This window comes from Homo sapiens, chromosome 5 (assembly GCF_000001405.40).
Source record: "Homo sapiens chromosome 5, GRCh38.p14 Primary Assembly".
Classification (NCBI taxonomy): Eukaryota; Metazoa; Chordata; class Mammalia; order Primates; family Hominidae; genus Homo; species Homo sapiens.
In genome coordinates this window covers 20598531-20622309 of record NC_000005.10, presented here as the reverse complement: position 1 = coordinate 20622309, position 23779 = coordinate 20598531, and the positions used below count along the sequence as shown (strand labels likewise).

Genomic DNA, 23779 nt, shown 5'->3' with positions numbered 1-23779 from the left:
CCATCCTGAGGTTACTCTGTCTCTGGGTGGGCCACCTTGTGTACCCTGCCAGGCAGTCTTCTCTCCTTTGGGGTTGAAAGTAACATAGAATTTGCTTTTCGTCTATGCAAGTGCCCATGTGTTGGGTCCCATCATCCAAACAAGGAGGTATGCACATCTGTACATATAAGTGCATACATATCTATCTTCTCCCCACAATTTCTACCCTAGTTCAATTTGCAATTATTCCTACGTTGAACTGTTAAAATACTTTTCTAATATAAACTATCCATTCTGCAATTTGAGATCCCAAATATTCTTTATAAAATAAATCACACTGTGAATGCCTCTGCTTAAAATTATTTGTTCAGGCTTACAAACAGTTTCAAATTTGAATCCACGATAGTTTTTCTGTTCTTGTACAGACACATTACTGGAACACAGAAACTTTGCATTGTAAAGCTCTCTGACAATAGTATTTCTATTCCCTGTATTGTCCTTATCAAATTCAGCTGGAAATTCCCCAGTTGTTCTTCAAAAACTAGCACTAACAGTATCTTCAACCCCTAGGATAAAATTAATGGCTGCTAATTCCACAACTGCAGCACCTGGCAAACACCACCAAAATGTATCCTATCAATATGTAACATGTTTATGTGGCTACATTTTTACTTCCCAATTAAAATGGACTTCCTGAGATAGTAAGTATAGTTTATTTTTTCTTGTATTCACTCTCAATTATATTATCGAATACCTGGCAGATAGGGCACATTCAATCATTTGATTCGTTGAGTTCAATTGACTATAACTTTTATATATATATATATATATATATACACACACACACATAGACTAACTAAAGGTGTGTGTGTATATATATAGATGTATATATATACATGAATATATATAGGTGTATACATATACACATACACACACACACAAAACCCTTTAGTTAGAATACATTTACTAATCTGGGAAGGAGACTACTTTTATTAAAAGTATTTCTTAAACTAAAATTTTGGGGCAATTATAAGAAAATGGTGAGATTTGTTTTTCTCCCACAACACAGCAAATATATCAAAAGTACCTGTCCTCATGCTTTATGTGGCCCAGAGATAGTTAAATATTGAAACGTGGAGATGTTACAATAAAACTTAAGCCCAGAAGTCATAAATTCAAGGATTCTCTCAGGTAATTTTTAACTTAACCTTATTTTTGCCATGTGAAATCAGAGAGATTTATACATAATATCCATCAGGAAAAAATTCTAAAGAAAATATCACTTTCACCATCTTTAGAAAAATTGAATCATATTTTTTAAATCCTGCATGTTTATAAGTTTATTCAGTGCCATAGAAAAAGAAACTGCTAGATCAAGATAAATAGACACGAATCCTTCATGCTTTGTAGACAGAACATTCTAGAAATTGTAGGTAGTGTGAAAACTCTGCACAATTAAAAAAAAAGCTCTGGGATAAAGATTGAATGAATGCAATAATTACTTAAGTACAGGATGAGCACACGTTCTGGGCCAGGTGGGAATGCAAAGGAGGGTTGGACATTAAAAAAAGGCAGGGAGACCTTATGAGAGAGCCATATGCTGACCAAAGAGTTCCTCAAATGTATAAGGGGAAAACAATTGGAATATAGCTCCAAATTTTGCTGTAATATCGTATGTATGTATGTAGGTATATATTACATAGTTTTATGTATATTATATACATCCCCACCTGTGCATTGCATATTTCAACTAATTTATTATATGCAGTTTATTGCAACATATGACTCAGCATACCGATTTACTAAATCCCATGCTTTTATGACCCTCCTTCATGTATGGTTAAATAGAGACAACTGTACCCAGTAGCTGTGTGGAACACTTTTGAACGTGAGGCTGAGGCCTACAAAGAGTAGTTCAAGTAAATGGCAGCCTGGATCAGCTTGCTTTCTTCACATCAAAACTAGATAATCCAAATCCTATCTTTCACTTTAAGTCTAAATTTTGGTTTCCAGGTACCTAAATACAGTTTTATTTCTGAAAATGGTCACTCAAAGTTTTAACTTTACTCATGCTTCCATGTTACTTTAAAAAAGTTATATATAAGAACTAAGATAAACACTATTATTTTATTAATAAATAAAAGCAATTGTGATACATGTCCTTCTTATACTCCTCAATATTCTTCAAAATACTAAATTCAGTATTTAGTACTTTAGTATTTCAGTGCAAATTTGACTTAGCATAAATTAATAAGAAAATAACACTTCAGAACACAAAATAACATCTGCAAATAATGTTGTTGCTCCATTGCGGCTGCTCCCTACACACCAAGCAACATATGACCAGAGGCAGCATTTAGCACAACTCTCTGGAGGATATTTTGTTATTTGCTGTGAGAAAAGGGAAAAATGAAGCCCATTTGACAGTGGTAGAGATGAGACTCTAACCATTTTTGGTTTCTTTCCACCATTTATTTTGTAAAACATAAGCATCGAGTTCATAGAGACCTGATGTTAGAAAGCTGTACCTATGAGTAACAGATGGCAGCTTGTGGGGGGTTGGAATATGCAGCAATAGGAGCTCGATATTCTGTATTTATGTATTCTTGGAGCTGATAAGCATTTGAGAGGCTTTCCTATTTACAAATTTGCAAACAGAAATAAATCATATTAGTCAACAGCTTTTATTTTCAATTTTATTCTATGAGTCATGAGACTTGGAGTATCGGAAAATATTGAAAAAGAATACATATTTATATAACTGTATATGCATATGCAATGTCTTCAAAATAAATACTGGATTCTTTCATTATTTTTAAGATGAATAAACTACCAAAATATGTATTATTGTGTATATTTAAGAAGAGGAAACAATATTTCCAAGCCTGTTAATAGTACATAAAAGAAAATAAGAATATAAAAATATTTTATTTTAAAATGTTTACCTCACAGTATTTAGTTATTTAGTTGCCTCAAACATTGATTTAGGTTTTTTATGCCTAAAAAATTAGTTGTTTATGTCTTTTAAATCACTAAATTAGTCTGCAATCTGCCTATTGACAATAAGGAAAATAAAGTGTCTTATCTCACATCCTGTCACACCATAATTATATGAACATTTTCACACAGTTAATTTTGTTTGTATTCAGTTAGAAATACCTGCTGGGTGGGGATTATCATTACATTCAGGATATGCCTGATTTGCCAAAAGGCCAGAACTATCACTCAGCATACTAAAATTCTCTCAGCAACTGAAGTACATTTAGAAAGAATGAAAATGAGGCATCTTCATCATATTAAAGAAAATATTAGCTAATTTTCAAGCACTTGATATACATGAATCTATGCAACCAGTTTAAATACAAAAGACATTCTTTTGAGTTCACCTGATATTTGAGGGATTTTACCTAACAAACTCTATTGACAGAGGAAGAGAAAAATGCAATTGGTGCTCAAACTCATCTTCTGTTTATCTAATTGCAAAGTGAACAAATCTCCCAATTCACAATATAAAACTACCAGTATCCAAAGCCCTAATTAAATACTTTTAGAAAAAACTACCTAATTTTAGCCTCTATCAAAAGTCAGAAAATATTATATCAGAACCATTGTCTAAAGAAAGTACAATTTCAACACATCTTGAGACAATTTACTTCTAGAAGCAACTACACTACCCTTGTCTGGGTAAAACATTTTATTATTATGAAACAAGATTGCTTGGGAATTTACAACTGCCAAAGGAAATGAAGTATGCCTAAATAATTTCAGAGGTATTAAGGACATTATTGCTTAATATTATTACATTTATTATTATGACCCAACTTAAGTCATATTCGAAAAGGCTGTGCTTGTGTGTTTGGCAATATTTTGGTACTAGGAAAGCTTGACATTCCAAGTTTCTCCCCATGGAAGGCAGAATTTCCCCTTAAAGATATCTACTCCCTAATTCCTGGAACCTTTGAATACATAATATTTCTTGAACAGAGGAATTTTGCAGATGTAATTAAGGTTGAAGATCTTAAAATTAAAAGATTAATTTGAAATTTATGAGGGGGTCCAATCTAGTCACAGGAACCTTTAAAAGCTGAGAGCTATCTTCAGCTGGAGAAGAAGAAATCTGGCAAAAGAGATGTTAGAGAGACTTAAAGCTTAAGAACTTAACATACATTGCTTATTTGAAGAATGAAAGGATGAAGCGATCAGGAATGCAGGTGGTCTAAAGCAGCTAGGTCTCCCAGCCAATAGCCTGCCAGGATAGCACAGGAATTTTGCCAGAAACACGAATGATTTTGGAAGAAGATTCTCTCTCAAAGCTTTGAAATAAGAGCCCAGGCTAACCGATGCTTTGATTGTAGTCCTGTGAGATTTGGAAAAGGGGAAGCAGTTGAGCCTACCAAGACTTTTGGCCTACAGAATTTTAAGAAAATATGTTTGTGTTGTTCCAAACAATGAAATTTGTGACTATTTGCTACAGCAGTGATAGAAAACTAAGACACTGATCCACAGAAAGAATGGGCTTCCTACTTTGGATAACAGGAGCAACATATCCAATTGCAATCTCTTTTTTGTTGTCCACTAGTATACTCACAACTAATTTTAAGTAGGATCTTTATCCCTCATATAGGTGCCTTTTTCATTCCATGTATTTTAATTTTTTTCTGAATTTTTTAAACAATTTAATGATGTTTGTGTTTGCATCTTTAAAAAATAATATTAAGTTGCAATATCCTATTTAGAAATAAATGGAATATAAATATGAAAAATAAAATTAATTTTGTTTTTATTCATAGCTTCTGTCATTATGAAATATTTAAATAGTCTACTGGAATACACAAAAGGCAAGGTAAAATAAATTAGGATTATATGTGATGAACATCAATTGTATTTCATAGACAATATATATTTTCTGCACCTTTGATGGCAGTAGACTGGGTTTTGGGGAAGATTTACCTCTCCTGTTTTATCTGAAATCTTGATGGTAGTGGCATGACATATATCTCACCACTTTAGTGAAGGGAATCTCTCCTAAGTTCTCTGCGGGGACATAGTTAAATCGTGGATTATCTGTTCTTACATAATCCATTTTAGCATTTTTTTTTTCTTTTTTTTTTTAAGACGGAGTCTCGCTCTGTCACCCAGGCTGGAGTGCAGTGGTGCAATCCTGGCTCACTGCAAGCTCCGCCTCCCGGGTTCACGCCATTCTCCTGCCTCAGCCTCTCCGAGTAGCTGGGACTACAGGCGCCCACCACCACGCCAGGCTAATTTTTTGTATTTTTAGTAGAGACTGGGTTTCACTGTGGTCTCGATCTCCTGACCTCGTGATCCGCCCGCCTCGGCCTCCCAAAGTGCTGGGATTACAAGCGTGAGCCACCGCGCCCGGCCAGCATATTTTTATGTAGCCTTTAAAACCCATTCTCAATATTTTGCCTCAGATGTTCTAGCATCTCCACCTAATTTACTGTAAACTATTAATTTTTCTAAGGTTCAGCAAAACAAAAACGGCACTGGAAAAAGTTAAAAGTAAGACTTTATTTAAGGGTATTGTGAAAGGAATAGACACAATAATGGCGTATCAATTCAATGCTATTAAAGCAACAGAAAGAGAGCTTTCAAAAGGTAGAGAGAGTAGGCAGATAGAAGATATCAGGTCATCTGTATTTTTTCACTTGCCTTATGCAAAGAAATAGTTAGCATTATCCTATCTTTGTATCTTCAGAACCAGAGGTAGTTTTATAACTGGAATAAGATGCTCACTGAGAAAGTTAGTGTATTAGTCCATTCTCACGCCGCTAATAAAGACGTATCTGAAACTGGGTAATTTATAAAGAAAAAGAGGTTTACTGGACTCACAGTTCCACATGGCTGGGGAGGCCTCACAATCACGGCAGAAGACGAAGCAGGAGCAAAGAACGTTTACATGGCGGCAGGCGAGAGCTTGTACAGGGAAAACTACGCTTTATAAAACCGTCAGATCTCGTGATACTTACTCACTATCACGAGAACAGCACAGGAAAAAGCCGCCCGTATGATTCAATTACCTTCCACCAGGTGCCTCCCACTGTAACACTTGCTGTCTAGGGCTTTGGAGGTCATTGGTACTCCCCGCTAGATGCTTCCGTGGGGCTCACAGAGTTTTGTTCCAGCTGACACCCAAAAGCGCTCACCTGCGTGCCCCTTCCCGGGAAGGGTTGAGCGCCCACAGGTTCCAGTGAGTGGAGTTTGCCCCTGCCAATGCTGAAGCAGCTGGCTAGCTCCAGTGCCTGCACTGCAGTTCCCACCCACCAAGGGGTCAGGGGAATTTCCTGCTTCAGTATATTCCTCAAGTCTGAGATTTACTTACTTTTATAAGTGCCTAATTTGTAAGACAAAGCTCTCTTTCAACAAAGCATCAGCATTCTCCGAGTTGATAGATGGCTTACCTAAGTCTGTCTTTTTTTTTTAATTTTTATTTTACTGCTTTGAACTTGAGTGTTCATATTACCTCCTCAACACTCATAATTATTTATAATTGCCATTTTTACAGTACTGCTCAAGTACTACACTATTTTTATAGCCCAGTATGGACCCTTAGATCTTTACTCCAACCAAATTCACAACATGTGGGGGGTCTTAGAACTTCGGATGTTTTATTACGCTAAGAGTTCTCACTCCTTCACTTATCACCATAAATAGCCAGAGGACAATTCTGTACTGGAAACCCATTATGAGAATCTGCCTTCTAGGAATCCACTTCTAATACCACTTGTCTTTGTTTTGATTTACCCAAAATCAACCTTGAGATGGGAATTCAAGTATCAGTGGTTTATTGGAAGGTAATTTAGGGAATCATAATAGTTGTGTGGAGAAGTTAGACCCCCCAGAAATATAAATACTCCATTAGATCATTTGAATTTTGATTCTTGATTTGACCCTTCTTTTCTTTTATATCAGGGGTCAGAAAACTTTTTTTTTTTTTTGAGACAGAGTCTTGCTCTGTCGCCCAGGCTGGAGTGCAGTGGCGCGATCTCGGCTCACTGCAACCTCCACCTCCCGGGTTCATGCCATTCTCCTGCCTGAGCCTCTTGAGCAGCTGGGACTACAGGCGCCCACCACCACGCCCAACTAATTTTTTGTATTTTTAGTAGAGACGGGGTTTCACCGTGTTAGCCAGGATGGTCTGGGTCCCCTGACCTCGTGATCCACCCGCCTCGGCCACCCAAAGTGCTGGGATTACAGGCGTGAGCCACCGCGCCCGGCCAGAAAACTTTTTCTGTAAAGGGTCAGTTAGTAAATGTTTTAGGCTTTGCAGTCCATGTGATCTCTGTCCTAGCCACTGAACTTGTCATGGTAGCATAAAAACAGCCATGGATAATGTGTCACTGATTGAACATGGATGTGTTCCAATAACGTTATTTATAAAAACAAGCACTGGGCTGGATTTGGCCCAGAGGCCCTACTTTATTAATTCATACTCTATTTTATGTCTCAAGGACAAGAATCATGACTTTTTGTCAATATAATGTAACTATTTGGCCAATTGTCTACACATAGATAATACTTATAGAGAAATAATAAAAGTTTTAACATATTTGTAGGTGATATGGATGGTGACATTGCAATGATCTTTCCTCTTGCTTACTTCAATGAACTTGAAAATATGGTTGCATTTTAAAAGGTAAGCTGAAAATTAAAACCCAAGATTGAATCATGAATAGTTATCTTCAAAGCAGAATAGAAATGCACCACCCAAACAAGCTTGGCAGTCACCTAATTACTTTATTGCCCTTGATAAAGAAATAATATTTCCCCCAGTTGGTCAATTGTAAATAAATGGAAAGCAGATGAAGCAGAGAGAGAGGCAAACTTTGACTGAATAGCACCACTCTATCCAAAATAGAAAGGTGGAGCTTCAAGGATCTGACCTCATTGCCCCCAAGACAGGCAGAATGCTACCGTGGAAAGGATCCTTAGTCATAAATTTGCTAAATATTTTACCTAATTCCCGCTTGCTTTTGTTCCTTGTTATTTTACCAACTTTGATGGAAAATTTTTGTATAAAATGTATTATTATCCCGTTCATATTAAGTTCAAGCATATGCTTAAGTAAGCATGATACTACATAAGGACACAGCCTTAGATAGCAAATTTATTTTTTGTAAAAAAGCAGCACAGGCTGGGTGTGGTGGCTCATGCATTTAATCACAGAACTTTGGGAGGCCAAGGCAGGAAGTTCACTTGAGGCCAGGAGTTCCACAGCAGCCTGGCCAAATGGCAAAACCCCATCTCTACTAAAAATACAAAAATCAGCCAGGTGTGGTGGCGGGCCCCTGTAGTCCCAGCTACTCGGGAGGCTGACGCACAAGAATCACTTGAACCTGGAGGTGTAGGTTGTAGTGAGCTGAGATCACACCACACACTCCAGCCTGAGTAACAAGCGGGAAAACATCTCAAAAACAAACAAAAAAAAAGCAGCACAGATTTTACACATAGTGAGTAAGAGGATGGCTAGAAGCGTGCTTTGAGGAATGGCATATTTATTAAACAAAAAGTGTGTACAAACGTATTTGGTATGTTGTATTAGCACTTTACACTTCTGTTACAAATGTTGCTTTGCATGAAATTTTTACAGAATGAAAAAAGTACTTGCCTGAGTATTGTTATATCTTTCCTTTTTGGAAATCTTTCTGAGGAATGGGGAACCCCTTTCATAAGTTATTCAAACAATGCTCATAATTTCAGAATGAAGTATTTTCATGCATGTATTAGCATCACTCTTAGTTATTAGATAAAACAGCAAATTGAATGAAATGTTTTTTTCTCAAAATATGTAGACTAGTTCTAAATCGATATTTTAGCTCTTTCTTCAGCTGGACTATGCTCATCCTCCTTTCTAGTTGAGGTTATAAATTTAACAATGTTATTGAGAGGCGAAGCCAGCTGGGCTTCTGGGTCACGTGGGGACTTGGAGAACTTTTCTGTCTGGCTAAAGGATTGTAAATGCACCAATCAGTGCTCTGTGTCTAGCTAAAGCTTTGTAAATGCACCAATCAGCACTCTGTAAAAACTCACCAGTCAGCGCTCTGTGTCTAGCTAAAGGTTTGTAAACACACCAGTCAGCACTCTGTAAAAACGGACCAATCAGCGGTCTGTAAAATGGACCAATCAGCAGGACGTGGGTGGGGCCAAATAAGGGAATAATAGCTGGCCAGGGGAGCCAGCCGCGGCAACCTGTTTGGGGCTCCTTCCAGCTTTGGAAGGTTCATTCTTTTGCTTTTCACAGTAAATCTTGCTGCTGCTCACTCTTCAGGCCTGTGCTACCTTTATGAGCTGTAGCACTCACTGCAGAGGTCTGCGGCTTCACTCCTGAAGTCAAGTCGGGGAGACCATGAAACCACCGGAAGGAAGAAACCCCGGACACATCTGAACATGTGAAGGAACAAACTCCTGACACAACATCTTTACGAACTGTAACGCTCACCGTGAGGGTCTGCGGCTTCATTCTTGAAGTCAGCGAGACCGAGAACCCACTGGAAGGAACCAATTCCAGACACATTATCACTAATTAAACCTATGTCTGTACCTTCTAGCATTATATATAAAAAGTGCAACATAGAAAACAAAATTTAAATCCACAACTATTTAATATTCACAACTTCTGGATTTATCTCATGTTGCAAACTATTTTTGTTACCCTATTCTTTGAGAAATATAAAACATCAGTATTTCATTGGTGAAATGTTCTTTATAGTAGTTTAAATAATAATTGCATACAATCACGTGCTATATGTATACTCTCCTGCAATAAAGAATGGCATGAGCATAATTACAAGAATTAATGACCTTGCATTAGTGTAGCTGTAAATCAAGCAAAATCTGCAAATTATTTTAATTGCAGCATCCAGTTAAAATATTTTGGTCAATGAGCCTTTACAAATTGTATTAAAATGCGTAAAAATAATTTTGCTGTGCTATATATTATGCTAACACACATTTATGATGGGAGACTTTCAAATACAATCTTTCCTTTTTTTCTAATAGAATTATGCATTTATTTATCAACTTACCTGAGAAGATATCTAGTCTTAAACTGTCACTGAATAGATAAAAACATTGTGAAAAATTTTTTTTCCATATAAACCTATGTTTTCCAGTTACTAGGTAAGATGTACTAGTTTTATACTGTTGAGTAACAGATTATCACACCTTGCAGCTATAAAAAGCATACATTTATTATCTCACACTTTCTATCCATCAGACGTCTAGCACATTTTAGCTCCTCCTTCATTCACGGTCCCACAAGGTTAAAGTTCAGCTGTCAACTGGGCTATCTTTTCTTCTAGAGCTTGGGGTTTTCGTTAAGACTTACATCGTTGTTGACAGGATTCAATTCCTTCTAGCTATAGGGCTGAGGTCACCATTTTCATTTTCTTTTTCCATGTTGTCCAGAGGATGCTCTCAACCCCTGGAGGTCCCCAACCAGGCCCTTGCCACGTGGCCTAGTACATGGCAGCTCACTTCCTCAAAACCAGCTGGAAAATATCTCTCTGTGGTTGCCGGGGCTAATGTCTTAGGTAACAATGATGAGAATGACTATCACATCATAATCGCAGTCCCCGTTTACACTCAAAGGTAGTGTATATGCCAGGGACAGGATGCTGAGGTTTATCTTAAAATTCTGTTTGCCATGCTGCCCCAATTGCATGTTTCAGCCCCACAAGCAGAAAATGGTCTCTCCCTGGTCCCAAGAACATAATTGCTTGTCATAGTCCACAACCACCAAACTGGAAACTGATTAGCATTTACACTTGAATGGAATTAAGACTATCACTGCTAGAATGGTTCTTTATGGCTTATAAACAGAGGAGTTGAATAATTTCTGAAAATGGCTAGTTATGAAATAATTTTTTTGATTTATTATTTAAATATTCAGCCTGGACATCTCCTGATACTGATACCATGTTTTCTCATGAAGATGTGTGCATAACCCCCTCTTATGAATTAATGAACATACAGCCATGACCCAAAATAGTTTTTCACCGTTAAAACTGTAAAAGTAAAATGAACAACTATTTACATCAAATTTTCACCTCATCATTTTGTTCCCAAACCTCCCTCACATATTCGCCTCAAGGTTGATAATTTTTTGATGATTATGAAAAATTTTGAGAAATGTATTGAAAATTTCACGAGGCAACATTTTTTATCTGAAATAAAGAAGAGAGTACAGTAATCCCACCAAATGATATTTAAGTCAGCAGAGAGTCAAGGTCAAAAGCAGAGAAATAGCTCCTTCAATCTGTTTTTACTGCAATATGTAATTCATTTGATAATGTTACAAATACAACCAGATCTAGCCAAGGGCATTTGTATCGGGTGTGATGAATTGTGTTTGACCTACTGGTACCACCCACTGAATACTTAACTTCTTGTATTTCAATAACTTCTCTGATAATCAACCACCTGGGCAACATTTGCAGTCTTTCAAGTTGTCACTTTGGGACATGAATTAGTGTTAACATACACATAAATCATTGCAGCAAGTCAAGAGGAACTGAAGCAGAGTGCTGTTGGCGTCGATACAGTCACAGCCGGAAACTGAAGTGGATACATTCATGCAGTTAAAATAAATAGGTTCTACCTCTAACATATTTAATTCTTGTGATTTTCTGTTTTGTTAGATTCTACCAAAATTACTGTTCCTAAAATTAAAACCATTGTTGTTAAAAGTGAAGGATTATCATCATAAACAAACCAAGCTTTGTGATATTTTTCTTTTTAAAAGAAAACCTAAAGAACACTCAATAATGGAGGCCTCTCATTTTGGTATATCAAATTATTGAAAATTAAGAGTGATATAATTATCGTCTGATGCTGCTACACCATTCTTTCTGTAAGCCTTCGAACCAACAGCTTCAGAGGAATTAATAGCATACTGAAAAGGAATAACATCTTACTTATTTCATGTCATTACAAAAACTTGTCAAAGTCATTTTGAAACTTTGTGTCCTTTGGGGAGATCATTTAAAAAATAATAATTAGTCCATCTAGTACCTCTAAATAACAACTTTTCCTAACTTCCTCAAGCAAATTTATTTATATTTTAAACATCATCATTAGACTATATTCATAGTCGTAGTTTTGTTTGATTCTATACCTTCTTTGAAAACAATCTATATCCCAATTTCAGTTTTTATCTAGTGAAAATCAAGAATATCTATTAGTACAACAGAAAAAATAAGTCTGTCACTTCTCAGTTACTTTTTAATTTTATTTAAAAGATATAATTGGATCTAAAAGTTTTCTGTGTTTGCTAATTTTTTAAACCAGGCACATTTAATTTCAGGTGACTTTTAATGAAAATCTGTTTTTAATATTTTTATTAGTATTTCTTCAAAGCATTATACTAAGTTTAAAAACATGGATAATCAAATATGTCATTTAATGTGAGTTTTGATGATGTTGGAAGTAATCCTTTGTAAATAAAAGATACTATGGAATTTCATACAGTTAAAATGTCATAAATCAGAAAAAAGATAATAAATAGCTTTCAGATACACTAGATGACTTAGAGATAAAAAAGATAATTACTGAAAATATAGTAATAGCCAGATTCAAATTAGACAAGTGAATTTAATTCACAGGTATATTTTTTCTTCCCACTAATACTTTACCAATGAAAGTAAATATGAGTAAAAGTAAAGATTCATGCAGACAAAAACAAGAGAGCGGTCTAAAGGTGAAAAGGCAAATAGGTGAGTGTTAACTAATGTGTGTGCCCAGATCAAACCAGAAAATAAAGGCGGTGATTGTCACCTGCATCTCGAGAGGTTGATGCTCAAGAGCCAGGTAGGGTCACGTGCAGGAGTGAAATGTTGAGAATGTCAATGGAGGATCTGTATCCTGAACACCAGGGATCCCCTTCTGGACAAAGACCTCTAAAATAAGGACTGGCAAGCTGAACAGTTACCAGGAAGAGGCTGATTGATATTAAGCAACCAACTGGACATTTACACATAGCCACATTGCATCCCCAGCTTTTGTCATGAGATTACTTCTCTTTTCTCAGGCCTAATGGGAAGTCTGAGGAGCCTTGTCTGAAAAACCTAAAAGACCATGGGGAGAAGTTTCCATCTATTGACATTTGAGTCTCCCCTTGCACAGTCAGCACTGCATAAAGTCATCAAGGTACAAGCCTCACCTATATATATGGATATTCCATTAAGTATTGTTAGTGGTTCACATCTAACTCATGCATTTAGTAATTCATTAGTTAAATGAATACCTATTGTGCATATATCATGGTCCAGTGACTGCTCTTAGTGATTGGGATAAGTGAGTAATGGAGAAAGATCACATCTCTTAAGGTATTTATATCCTAGTTATGGGATGACCAACAGTAAACATTAGACATACAGATGCAAAAATTACCTAGTAGCAAGTGCTATGAACAAAGAGAAAAAGTGGAACTGCTTAAGAAGGTTCAAGAGTTCTGGGGACAGGAAGAAGTTATTATTAGAATGGTCAAAGGAGGTCTCATTTTAATGAGGTGAGGGAATTAGCCCTGTGGGTATCTCAGGAAAGAGAATTCCAGACAGAATAAATAGGCAGTTCAAAGGATGCAAGGATTAGCATGCTTACTATGTTTGAAAAGAAACAAGTAGCTCCCTGCAGCTAGAGAAAAGTAAGAGGGAAGTTGTTGGTTGTAGAGAAAATGGGAGAAAGATCTTTCATAAAGAATTTAAAATATAAATAGACTACTAGGAGCAGGTTACACAAGGAAACAGAAAGTACTCAGCATGAAAAAGAAAAAAACATTAAATAAAAACTATAAACACAAGCAAAAGGAATTAGAGATAATGAAAACAGCAGGAGAAATCTACACAAACCAAAATAACAATATCACCATGTTTTCAGAAACATGAAAATCAATTCCATCCATAAAACAGAAAGGGTATGACACTTGATTTTTTAAAATATCTACATCCAGACTCATTTTCATGTTTCAGTCTACTAAAGAGAATCCTAATAGTGTGTGGGGCGGGGAGGAGGGAGAAGCAATTTAAACAAGAGGCATGAGCATAAAATTGAAATTCAACTTTTCAACAACATTGCTGAATGACAGAAAATTGAACAGAATTGTCACAACTTTCACAGAAAATGCTGTTTAAGATAGAATTCTGTTTGCAGCAAAATAATCAAAGGTGAAAAGCTATAGATAATTTGGTGAAAAAATGACTGAAATAAATTATTTCCAAGAACTTTCTTAAGAAGATATCCTCCAGCAAAAGGAAAACTTAACTAAGAAGGAGGACATACTATCCAAATATAGTGACCCCTATCCAGCACAAGTCCCCAAAATATACGTGTACAAATGTCCTACAAAACAGTTTAGCTTGGGACAAGACAGTAGAAGACACAAAGTGAAGGGACAATGGGGAATAAAATACTCAATACTATAGAGTAATGATAGCATAAGAAAGAAAGTGATATTTGCATGGTAAAGTGTACAAAGAATAAACAAGACAATTATTAGCTCAAGAAAAATATGTATAAGAAATATTTTTTATATATTTGGCCTTTCATGAAGTATTTCCATTGGCATAATCATGTAAATACTGAATATTAGTTTAAATGACATACACTTTTGACTATAGAGGGTAGGAGAGGAATAGTGAAGTATAAAATAATTCCATCTGTGCATGTTGTCTTGATTTTTCTTATTGTTGCCATAACAATTTACTACAAACAGTGACAAAAAAATAATAATATATTATTTCACAGTTTGGTAGGTCAGAAGTCCCAGTGTGCTCAGCTGGCCCTCTCCTTCAGGTTCAAGACTAAACCAAACTATTGGCTGTGCTTCATACCTTTCTGGAGGCCCTGAGGAGGAATGTGCTTCCAAGCCTATTCAAGTTTGTGTCCACTTGAATTTATTTGTGGTTCTAAGACTGAGGTGTCTGTTTTCTTGCTGGCTGTCAGTTAGCGTGGAGGTGGGGGTACCCCTAAGTCCTAGAGGTATCTGTCTAGTGACATGTGGTGGTGCTTCCACTGTTCTTTCTCTCAGCCTGTATAACTGCTTGCATTTTTTCCCATTGTTGCTGCAACAAACATCACAAATGTAATGGTTTAAAAAATATACATATTATTTTACAGTTGTCTTGGTTAAGAGTCCAACATGGATATTACTGGCCTAAAGTCAACATGTTGGCCTGGCTGCCATTTCCTCTAGCAGCTCCCAAAGAGCATCCATTTCCCTGTCTTTTCCATCTTTTTGAACCCACCTGCAATCCTTGGCTCATGCTCTCCTTCCTCCATCTTTGAAAGCCAACAGTGAGTGTCAGGAGGAGTCCTGCCCACATCACATTACTCCTACCTTCTCTCCTGCCTCCCTCTTTCACTTTTAAGGATCCTGTGATGGCACTGGTCCCACTGAGATAATCCAGGATAAACCTATTTTGAAGTCAGCTGATTAGCAACCTAATATGATCTGTAATCTTATTCCCCTAAAGTAACCTAACATTCACAAATTCTAGGAGATTAGGATTATGGGCGATTTGGGGAGACCATTATTCAGCCCACCACAGTCTCTATTCAGTCCATTCTTTTATTATTTGTATGTAATGAATAAATGACAACCTAGCATAATGGAATGAAGTACTTGTTGAGCACTGCAGATGTTATTCTGGACCTGAATTCACCATCCTTCTGCTGTCCTTAGCTCACAGCCTTGCCCCACTTACTTTACTGTATCAGGTCCATACCAATTCCACTTTTAAAGCCATCCTACTCCCATCTCGTGAAGAACGCTCTAAACTCTCTATAACCTCCCAGCATTTCTCATTATATTGTAAACATAAGTTAGAATTATTGCAGTAAAAAGAATCCCAAGATTCCAATGCTTTAACACAGCAAAAGCTTATTCCTTTCTTGTTAAAATTCCTGAAGCTCACAGCAACATTCCAGATCCCAAGTAATGTATGTGATGACAGTTTTCCAGGTTGATGAAGTTCCATTATTCTGCAGCTACACATTTTGGAGCACATGGCTTCCTCAGTTATAACACAACAGGAAGTTTGAGCAGGAGGATCTCACAGTGTTCATTAAATGCTTCAGCTCAGATATGACATAAGTCACTTGTTCTCACAATCCATTTGCGAGAATTAAGCAATCCTTAACTGTTGGCAGTGGGAGCAGGAAGGGATAATCCTCCAAGATTCATGAAAAGAGAGGAGAGGCAGTAGAGAATACGCATTAAAATTTTCCACGGTACTCATTTTCATAGACATGCATGACCTTTCTTAGGTGGGTTCAGTTAGCATCAATAACCTCTCAGATCTGATTTTGGGTTGCAACATTTATTCTTAAACATTTCTCTCTCACAGTGAGTCCAGTATTATTATCCAAATCATCTTCATGCTGTCTGTCTCCCACAGATCAGGTGGTCCTATCATCACAGCTGCAAGTGATTTATCAACTTCATTTCTGTAGCCTCATTCTATTAAATATTTAGATGACAGGGTAAAAAATTATCTATGGTCTAAGTCAAACACCTCTAGGTAGTTTAGCCAAAAAAGTTGCTCTGTTTAAAAATACACTACAGTTTCCATCCCTCAATACAGCTCCAGTAGCTCCCTATAAAATACTGAAATGCTTACATAAATATTAACATCAATATGATTTTTTTTCATTTTCTTGTAGCTGCACGTTTATGTTGACATACCCAGTGCTATTCTGATTCATGATTGTATTAGTTTTTAAGTCAAATTTTTAACTTGACTTAAAACAAAGTACATTTATGGCTGGGCGCAGTGGCTCATACCTATAATCCCAGCACTTTGGGGGGCTGAGGTGGGTGGATCACGAGATCAGGAGATCGAGACCATCCTGGCTAACACGGTGAAACCCCGTGTCTACTAAAAATACAAAAATTAGCTGGGCATGGTGGCGGGCGCCTGTAGTCCCAGCTACTCAGGAGGCTGAGGCAGGAGAATGGCGCGAACCCTGGAGGCAGAGCTTGCACTTAGCCGAGATCACGTCACTGCACTGCAGCCTGGGTGACAGAGCGAGACTCCTTCTCAAAAAAAAAAAAAAAAAAGTAAATTTACTACTTCAGTTTCCCAGGGTCAGAAGCCCAAGCATAGTCCATCTGGTTCTTTACTTAGGATCTCCCAGGGATGTAATCAAGGAGCCAATTTGGCTGCATTCTCACTGGGAGATGTGAAGCAGAATGCAGCTGCAAACACACGCAGGCTGTTGGAAGACTCCATTTCCTCGTGGCTGTAGGACTCATGGCAGCTTGCTGTTCTAGGCCAGCAGTAAAGGGTGTGAATTCAGGGAAGGCCCTCCAAACTTGCGGGTGATTCCAACTGATAAAGACAGGCAACTTCTGATAATCTCCCTTTTGATTAACTGAAAATGGATTGATTTAGGGTATGAGTTACATCTGGAAAATCCTTTAACATTGCTGTTATAACATAACCTAATCAAAGGAGTGACACTCATCTCTTTCCCACATAATGTAATTTAATCATGAATGTGGCACCAGGAATTGGAGACCATGGGAGCCATCTTAGAATTTTGGTTACGGCTAGGATCCTGTCTTCATCTTTCAAACATGGAAGATTTGTGGAACGTCTCCTCTTTAAAACACCTGTAACATTTCAGGAGGCTGTGTGAGTGCATTGTCACTGATTGTGTAATGCTTGCGGTGAGGCTTTTCAATCTAAAAAATCATTTCTTCATTTCTGAAACATGCTTATATGGATTTCTATGATAATTTCTCCCTCTCCATTTTTGATCTTGGGGGGTATTTTTCTTAGTTTCTCCTAGTTACTGTTTTGTTTATTTTAAAATATAATTTATTCATTTGTTAATATGTAGTAAAATCTTTTCAATTTCCAAGAACTTTTATTTTTATATGAATATTTTTATTTTCTTCAGTTTATTTGTGAGATGAAATTCCATGTCATAAAATTGTAGAGACTTTTTTTGTAGTTCTTTCCCTGTTCTGTTTAAAACTTCTCTGGTACCTGTGAGTTGTTCATTTTAGATTTGCTAGTTTTATTATCTGACTTTTATTTAGAATATTCATTCAAATGGTTCATTTTTTTGGCTTCCCATTAACAATCAAGAGAGCAACATAAAATAATTGATTTAAAGCACTGTATGTCGATCAAACTTGTTGCATAGCCTGCCTCACTGTAAGATCATACTTCTGTTTCCTGGCTTTCATTGGATCACTTCCAATAACATGGTTCAATTTAAATTAAATTTTTATAAATATTCTGATTTTATTTTATGTGTTACCTCTTTTGGTCCTGCCAGAGAACATTCTCTGCTTTTAAGGACTCATATGATTTGATTGGGTCCATTGATATGATCCAAAATAATCTCCCATTTTAAGGTTCATAACCTTAACGTCATCTGCAGAGTTCCTTATTTACAGGTTCTAGGGATAAGGGCCAGGGCATCATTGGAAGTCCTTTCTTCTACATAGGTTGTTTAGCTTCCCCAGAAAGTGAACTTCATGACTTCTACCTGTATAAGTCTGGCTGCCAACATTTTGGTGGTTTAGTAATGAAAGAACTTCAGAATTTTAACGAATCTCTTTACTTTTAGTTTATTCTATAAACCATATCCAGTTTTGCCTGTTATCTCTTTTATTTTATTTTATTTTTGAGATGGAGTCTCGCTCTGTGGCCCAGGCTGGAGTGCAGATGCCTAAACACAGCAGAAACTTGGTAGGTGAATTCTTATCCATTTTGCCATTCTGCATCTTTTAAGTGGAGCATTCAGGACAGTTACATTCAGTGTTAGTATTGAGATGTGAGATACTAGTCTATTTATTGTGCTATTTGTTACCTGAATACGTTTTTTTTTTCGTTGTGTTATTGTTTTATAGGTCCTGTGAGACTTGTGCTTTAAGGGGGTTCTAATTTTGGTGTATTTTGAAAATTTGTTTCAAGATTTAGAGCTCCTTTTAGCAGTTCTTGCAGTGCTGGCTTGGTAGTGATGAATTCTCTCAGCATTTGTTTGTCTGGGAAAGGCTGTATCTTTCCTTCATTTATGAAGCTTAGTTTTGTTGGATACAAAATTCTTGGCTGATAATTGTTTTGTTTAAGGAGGCTAAAAAGAGGACCCCAATGTCTTGTAGCTTGAAGGGTTTCTGTTGAGAAGAATGTTGTTAATCTGATAGGGCTTCCTTTATAGGTTACCTGATGCTTTTGTCTCACAGTTCTTAAGATTCTTTCCTTTGTCTTGACTTTAGATGACCTGATGAATTTGTGTCCAGATGATGATATTTTTGCCATGAATTTCCCAGGTGTTCTTTCAGCTTCTTGTATTTTTATGTGTAGATCTCTAGTAAGGCTGAAAAAGTTTTCCTTGATTAATCTCTCAAATATATTTTCCAAACTTTTAGATTTATCTTCTTCCTTGGAAATACCAATTATTCTTAGGTTTAGACATTGAACATATTCCCAAACATCTTGGAGGATTCATTCAGTTTTAAAATTCTTTTTTCTTTGTCTTTGATGGACTGGGTTAATTTGAAAGCCTTCTCTTCATAGTCAGAAATTCTTTCTTCTGCTTGTTTTATTCTATTTCTGAGACTTTCCAGTGCATTTTGCATTTCCCTAAGTGTGTCCTTCATTTTCGGAAGTTGTGATTGTTTTTTATTTATGCTATCTATTTCACTGAAGAATTTTCCTTTCATATTTTGTATCATGTTTTTGATTTTTTTAAGTTGGACTTCACTTTTCTCCTGTGTCTCCTAGATTAGCTTAATAATTGACCTTCTGAATTCTTTTTCTGGCAATTCAGAGATTTCTTCTTGGTTTGAATCCATTGCTGGTGAGCTGGTATGTTCTATGGGGGGTATTAAAGATGCTTGTTTTGTAATATTACCAGAATTGTTTTTCTGGTTCCTTCTCATTTGGATACATTATGTCAGAGGGAAGATCTGGGATTCAAGCACTGCTGTTCAGATTCTTTTGTCCCAGGGATGCTCCCTTGATGTGGTTTCCTCCTTCTTCCTCTGGGAATAGGGCTTCCTGAGAGCTGAAGTGTAGTGATTGTTTTTGCTCACCTGGGTCTAGCCACCCAGAAAAGCTACGGGTCTCTGGGCTGGTATTGGGGAGTGTCTGCAAAGAGTCCTCTGATGTGATCCATCTTCAGCTGTTGCAGCTATGTATACCAGTACCTGCTCTGGTGGAGGTAGTAAGAGAATGAAATAAACTCTGTAAGAGTCCTTGGTTGTGTTTTTGCATAGTGTACTGGTTTTGTGTTAGTTGGCCTTCAGCCAGGAGGTGGCGTTTTCCAGAGCACATCAGCTGTGGTTCTATAGGAAGGATGCAAACTTGCCCTAGGGACATCTTGTTAAGTATCCAGGTTTCTCAGGGAGTGGGCAGGGCCATAGAGCTCCCAAGAGCTTATAACCTTTGTTTTCAGCTACCAGGTCAGTTAGAGAAAGACCACCAGGTGGAGGCAGGGATAAGCTTGTTGGAGCTTAGCCTCTCCTTGGGCGTGGCTTGCTGTGGCTTGCTTTGGCTGCTGTGGGGAATAGCAGTGTGGTTCTCAGTCCAGTGGAGTGGAATTCCCTGGAGGATTATGGCTGTCTCTGCTGAGTCATACGTGTAATCAGGGAAGCAGGGGAAAGCCGGCAGTCACAGGGCTCACCCTACTCCCATGGACTCTACAGTTTAAAAGGCCAGTCTCACTTCCACCATGCCCCTACAACAGCACTGAGTCTATTACCAGGCAGCTGGTGAGTGGGGCTGAGAATTTGCCCCTGACCCTGAGCCTCCCCATTGAGAACGCAAGCCAACTCACGTTTTTTGGCATCTCGGGGACCCTCAGCGGTGCTCTAGCTCCTTGAAAGGGTCTGGATTCTCTCAGCTTTCCTGGGATGTTCCTGTGGTAATTCTTGGAGCAAAAGTTCACACTGTGAGTCTCCACACGCTGGTCTGTCCATCTGAGTGGGAGGTGCAAGCTAGTTCAGCCTCCAGTTCACCATCTTAATCCTATTCAATTGTATTTCTTCCCAATGGATGGTAAGTTCCACGAGGACAGGGTTTTTGTTTGTTTATTTGTTTTGTCATTGCGTTATCACCAGTCCCTATATTGGTGCTTAGGAAACAGTAGGCACTCAAAAATGTGTGCTATTTTAATTATCGAATAAACAAATTTACTATATATAAACAAATTAACTATACAATGCTATGGGTAGCATTATAATGCAGTTCAATCTAATGAAGTTTGATGTAATGATATATATTGCATAATATTTAAGACTTTTCAACGCCAAGACTTTGACATTGCTAAAAAATTGACTTTTAATTTTTTTTTTTTTTTTTTTTTAATGAAAGCGAATCTGTGAATTACATCCATGGGCATAAATTTTTACCTGACAAAAGCAATATATGGGAATACGTGTTTCAAAGTCATATATTCAACTAAAAATTAATCTTTCAAATACCACACATGCTTTTTTGTCAGAACAAATTTCTTTCTTATCTTTGGCAAATTACATTTCAATTAGAGAATAAGTCTATATTCCTATTTAATTCCTCCCTCACCCAAACATTCCCCTATATTCCTAAGGACTTTCCCCTGGAATCCTTGCATTTTTTTAATTGTGTGGCAAGAATTTCATCACATACTGAGGTGAAGCAGAGAAACACTGAAATGGACATTACGGTTGCTTGGGAATAAATGCTCACCAAAGATTAAATGGCTTAAAATTGTGGATTGCATATTTTGCAAGCATTTTCTGATATATTTAATTCATCTGAGGAAGTCACTGAAAATTAATAAAACTGGCTCATATGTGATTAACATATATTTGAAGTTTTGGATGTCATTCAAGACCTCTTGGACTTACATTATTTGGATTTTCTTATTAAATAGAAATATCCCAACATACTAAAATATGTGTTTATAGAATGATATAAAAGACACCCTCCACCATAGTTAAACAAATGTTAAAAAATATTTTAGTTAAACTTTATTTCTTTATTTTTAGCAATGAACCATAGAGAGAGTAAAGTTCTGTTCATACCACTTTACTAGTTCTCTCTCAGAGATAAGCATTATATTGAAGTCAGTACAATTTCTACATGTCCAGTGTTTTTAAAATGTAATTTGTTTATTAAAGATTTCTGTGTTTCAGAAATTGCGTACATAGCATTATAATATATGTGTTGTTCTGGGAAAAAAATTGTATATAAGATAAGATTTGTTAACCAGTTTTAGTAAACTTCAATGGGACTTTCTCTATATTTGTAATCCTCTTAGTGATGCAACAAGATTATTCACAGTTGATCTGCAGAGTTCTTTCTGTGATGTTAAAAGACAAACAAGATGAGAATATAGAGGGGGTGAGCGTGGGGAGGGGGGACGAGGCTTTTCTCCTCTGCAGGAAGGGCTGCACCCAAACTCAGATTCCCAGGGATCCGTGGGTGTTTTCCCCTGGCAGAAAGGCTTGTGACCTCCCATTGGCCCCAGGGCTCTAGATAGAAGGAATTCATAAGCAATTTATGTAAATAATTGGACTTAAACCTAGATCATCTTGCCTAGAAGCAGTTTATTTGTTCCTGCATTAAAATGTTCCTTCAGTGATTTAAAAAAAAAAAGGGTGAAAAGGGGGAGAGTCACCCTTCAGAACAGAGCTCTCTGGCCTCCATCAGCCTCTCAGTAGGATAAAGGGAGGATGAGGAAACCATGATTTCTCTTGATTTGCTGCTCTTGAACTTGGGTTTATTTCCTCAGTGAAGCCTGTCCCTGAACACATGCCATAGTGATGATGTGAAGTTCATTTCTAGTTCTGCTACACATTATGCTTTTTTTCAAAACAGTGATTTTCATAACATGACAGCTCACAATCAGATGGGAATTAATTCCTTGTACGATCTTTAAGGAAATGGCAGAAGGGGCCAATAAGGGTACCCAATACATGGAAGACATTCCTTATGGAAGCAAAGAGCACTTCCTAGAGGACTGATGGGGTCAGCTGTGGGTAAAGTGGAAGCAGCTCTCAGGATGTGGGCAGATGATTGGAAGAGCAAGTGATTGGGAAGCCCTGGTGACAGACACAAGAGTAATCCTGAGAGGGAAGTTTGTTCAGCTCTAGGAGAAGCTGCTGAAGCAGTGGTTGAACATAGAAACGCCATAGAAACATGAGCCACTGCTGACCCTGAATGGCTGGTCGTGGTGATGCTGTCTTGCCGACAACGGAAAATACCAAACTCTTTCTGCTTACGGGCTATTGACTTTGCTCTTCTCTCAGGCCTTTGAATGGCATACTCAAACTCAAACTATATCTTATCCCAAATGTTACATGTTAAGAGAAACCTTCGCTGACCATGTCTAAAGTGGCCTCTCTCAGCTTCTGACTAGCTGATCTTGTTAATTTATTCCAAAGCATTCATCACGATCTGTGATTATCTTTGATTGATTGATAGCTTATTTATTTATTTGTGTTCCCATTGGACCATCATTCTTTGTTCACTGTAACTATTATTGTGATCGCTGCTATGTCCAGGGACTATTCATTGGATTTTCAACCTCATTCCACCTAACACCCCTTTTTTTGTTTGTTTCTGTAGAAAAATTTAGAAAGGCCTGGATTAGTCTGTTCTTGCATTGCCGTAAATAAATACCTGAGACTGGGTAACTTAAAAAGAAAAGAGGTTGAATTGGCTTATGATTCTGCAGTCTGTACACAAAGCATAGCAGCTTCTGCTTCTGGGGAGGCCTCAGGAAGCTTCCAATTATGCCAAAAGGCAAATGGGGAGCAAGGCATCTCACCTGGCTGGAGCAGGAG

At 37.2% G+C, this 23779-nt stretch overlaps 2 long non-coding RNA genes across 2 annotated transcripts in view, besides 2 other annotated features; one reads left to right on the top strand and one right to left on the bottom strand.

Annotated features, from left to right (window-relative positions):
* The window catches only part of LINC02241 (long intergenic non-protein coding RNA 2241), a 325854-nt gene extending 315384 nt beyond the window's left edge, over positions 1-10470 (bottom strand). Inside the window, exon 1 of the long non-coding RNA NR_149120.1 lies at positions 10325-10470. This is a non-coding gene — a long non-coding RNA (long intergenic non-protein coding RNA 2241). The remainder of the gene's footprint in view (positions 1-10324) is intronic.
* Positions 5796-6090: an enhancer, noted in NCBI's record as "tiled region #13238; HepG2 Activating non-DNase unmatched - State 24:Quies, and K562 Activating DNase matched - State 9:DNaseU". NCBI's record gives its function as "activates a minimal TATA promoter and a strong SV40 promoter by Sharpr-MPRA in HepG2 and K562 cells {active_cell/tissue: HepG2 | K562}" and the evidence as "EXISTENCE:reporter gene assay evidence [ECO:0000049][PMID:27701403]".
* On the top strand, positions 6775-9685 carry LINC02146 (long intergenic non-protein coding RNA 2146). The gene is made up of 3 exons (NR_147185.1): positions 6775-6791; positions 7554-7633; positions 9266-9685. It is a non-coding gene; the product is annotated as a long intergenic non-protein coding RNA 2146 (long non-coding RNA).
* Positions 20057-20558: an enhancer, noted in NCBI's record as "NANOG hESC enhancer chr5:20601861-20602362 (GRCh37/hg19 assembly coordinates)". NCBI's record gives its function as "activates a minimal SCP1, AML or CMV promoter by ChIP-STARR-seq in naive H9 embryonic stem cells {active_cell/tissue: H9 hESC(naive)}" and the evidence as "EXISTENCE:reporter gene assay evidence [ECO:0000049][PMID:30033119]".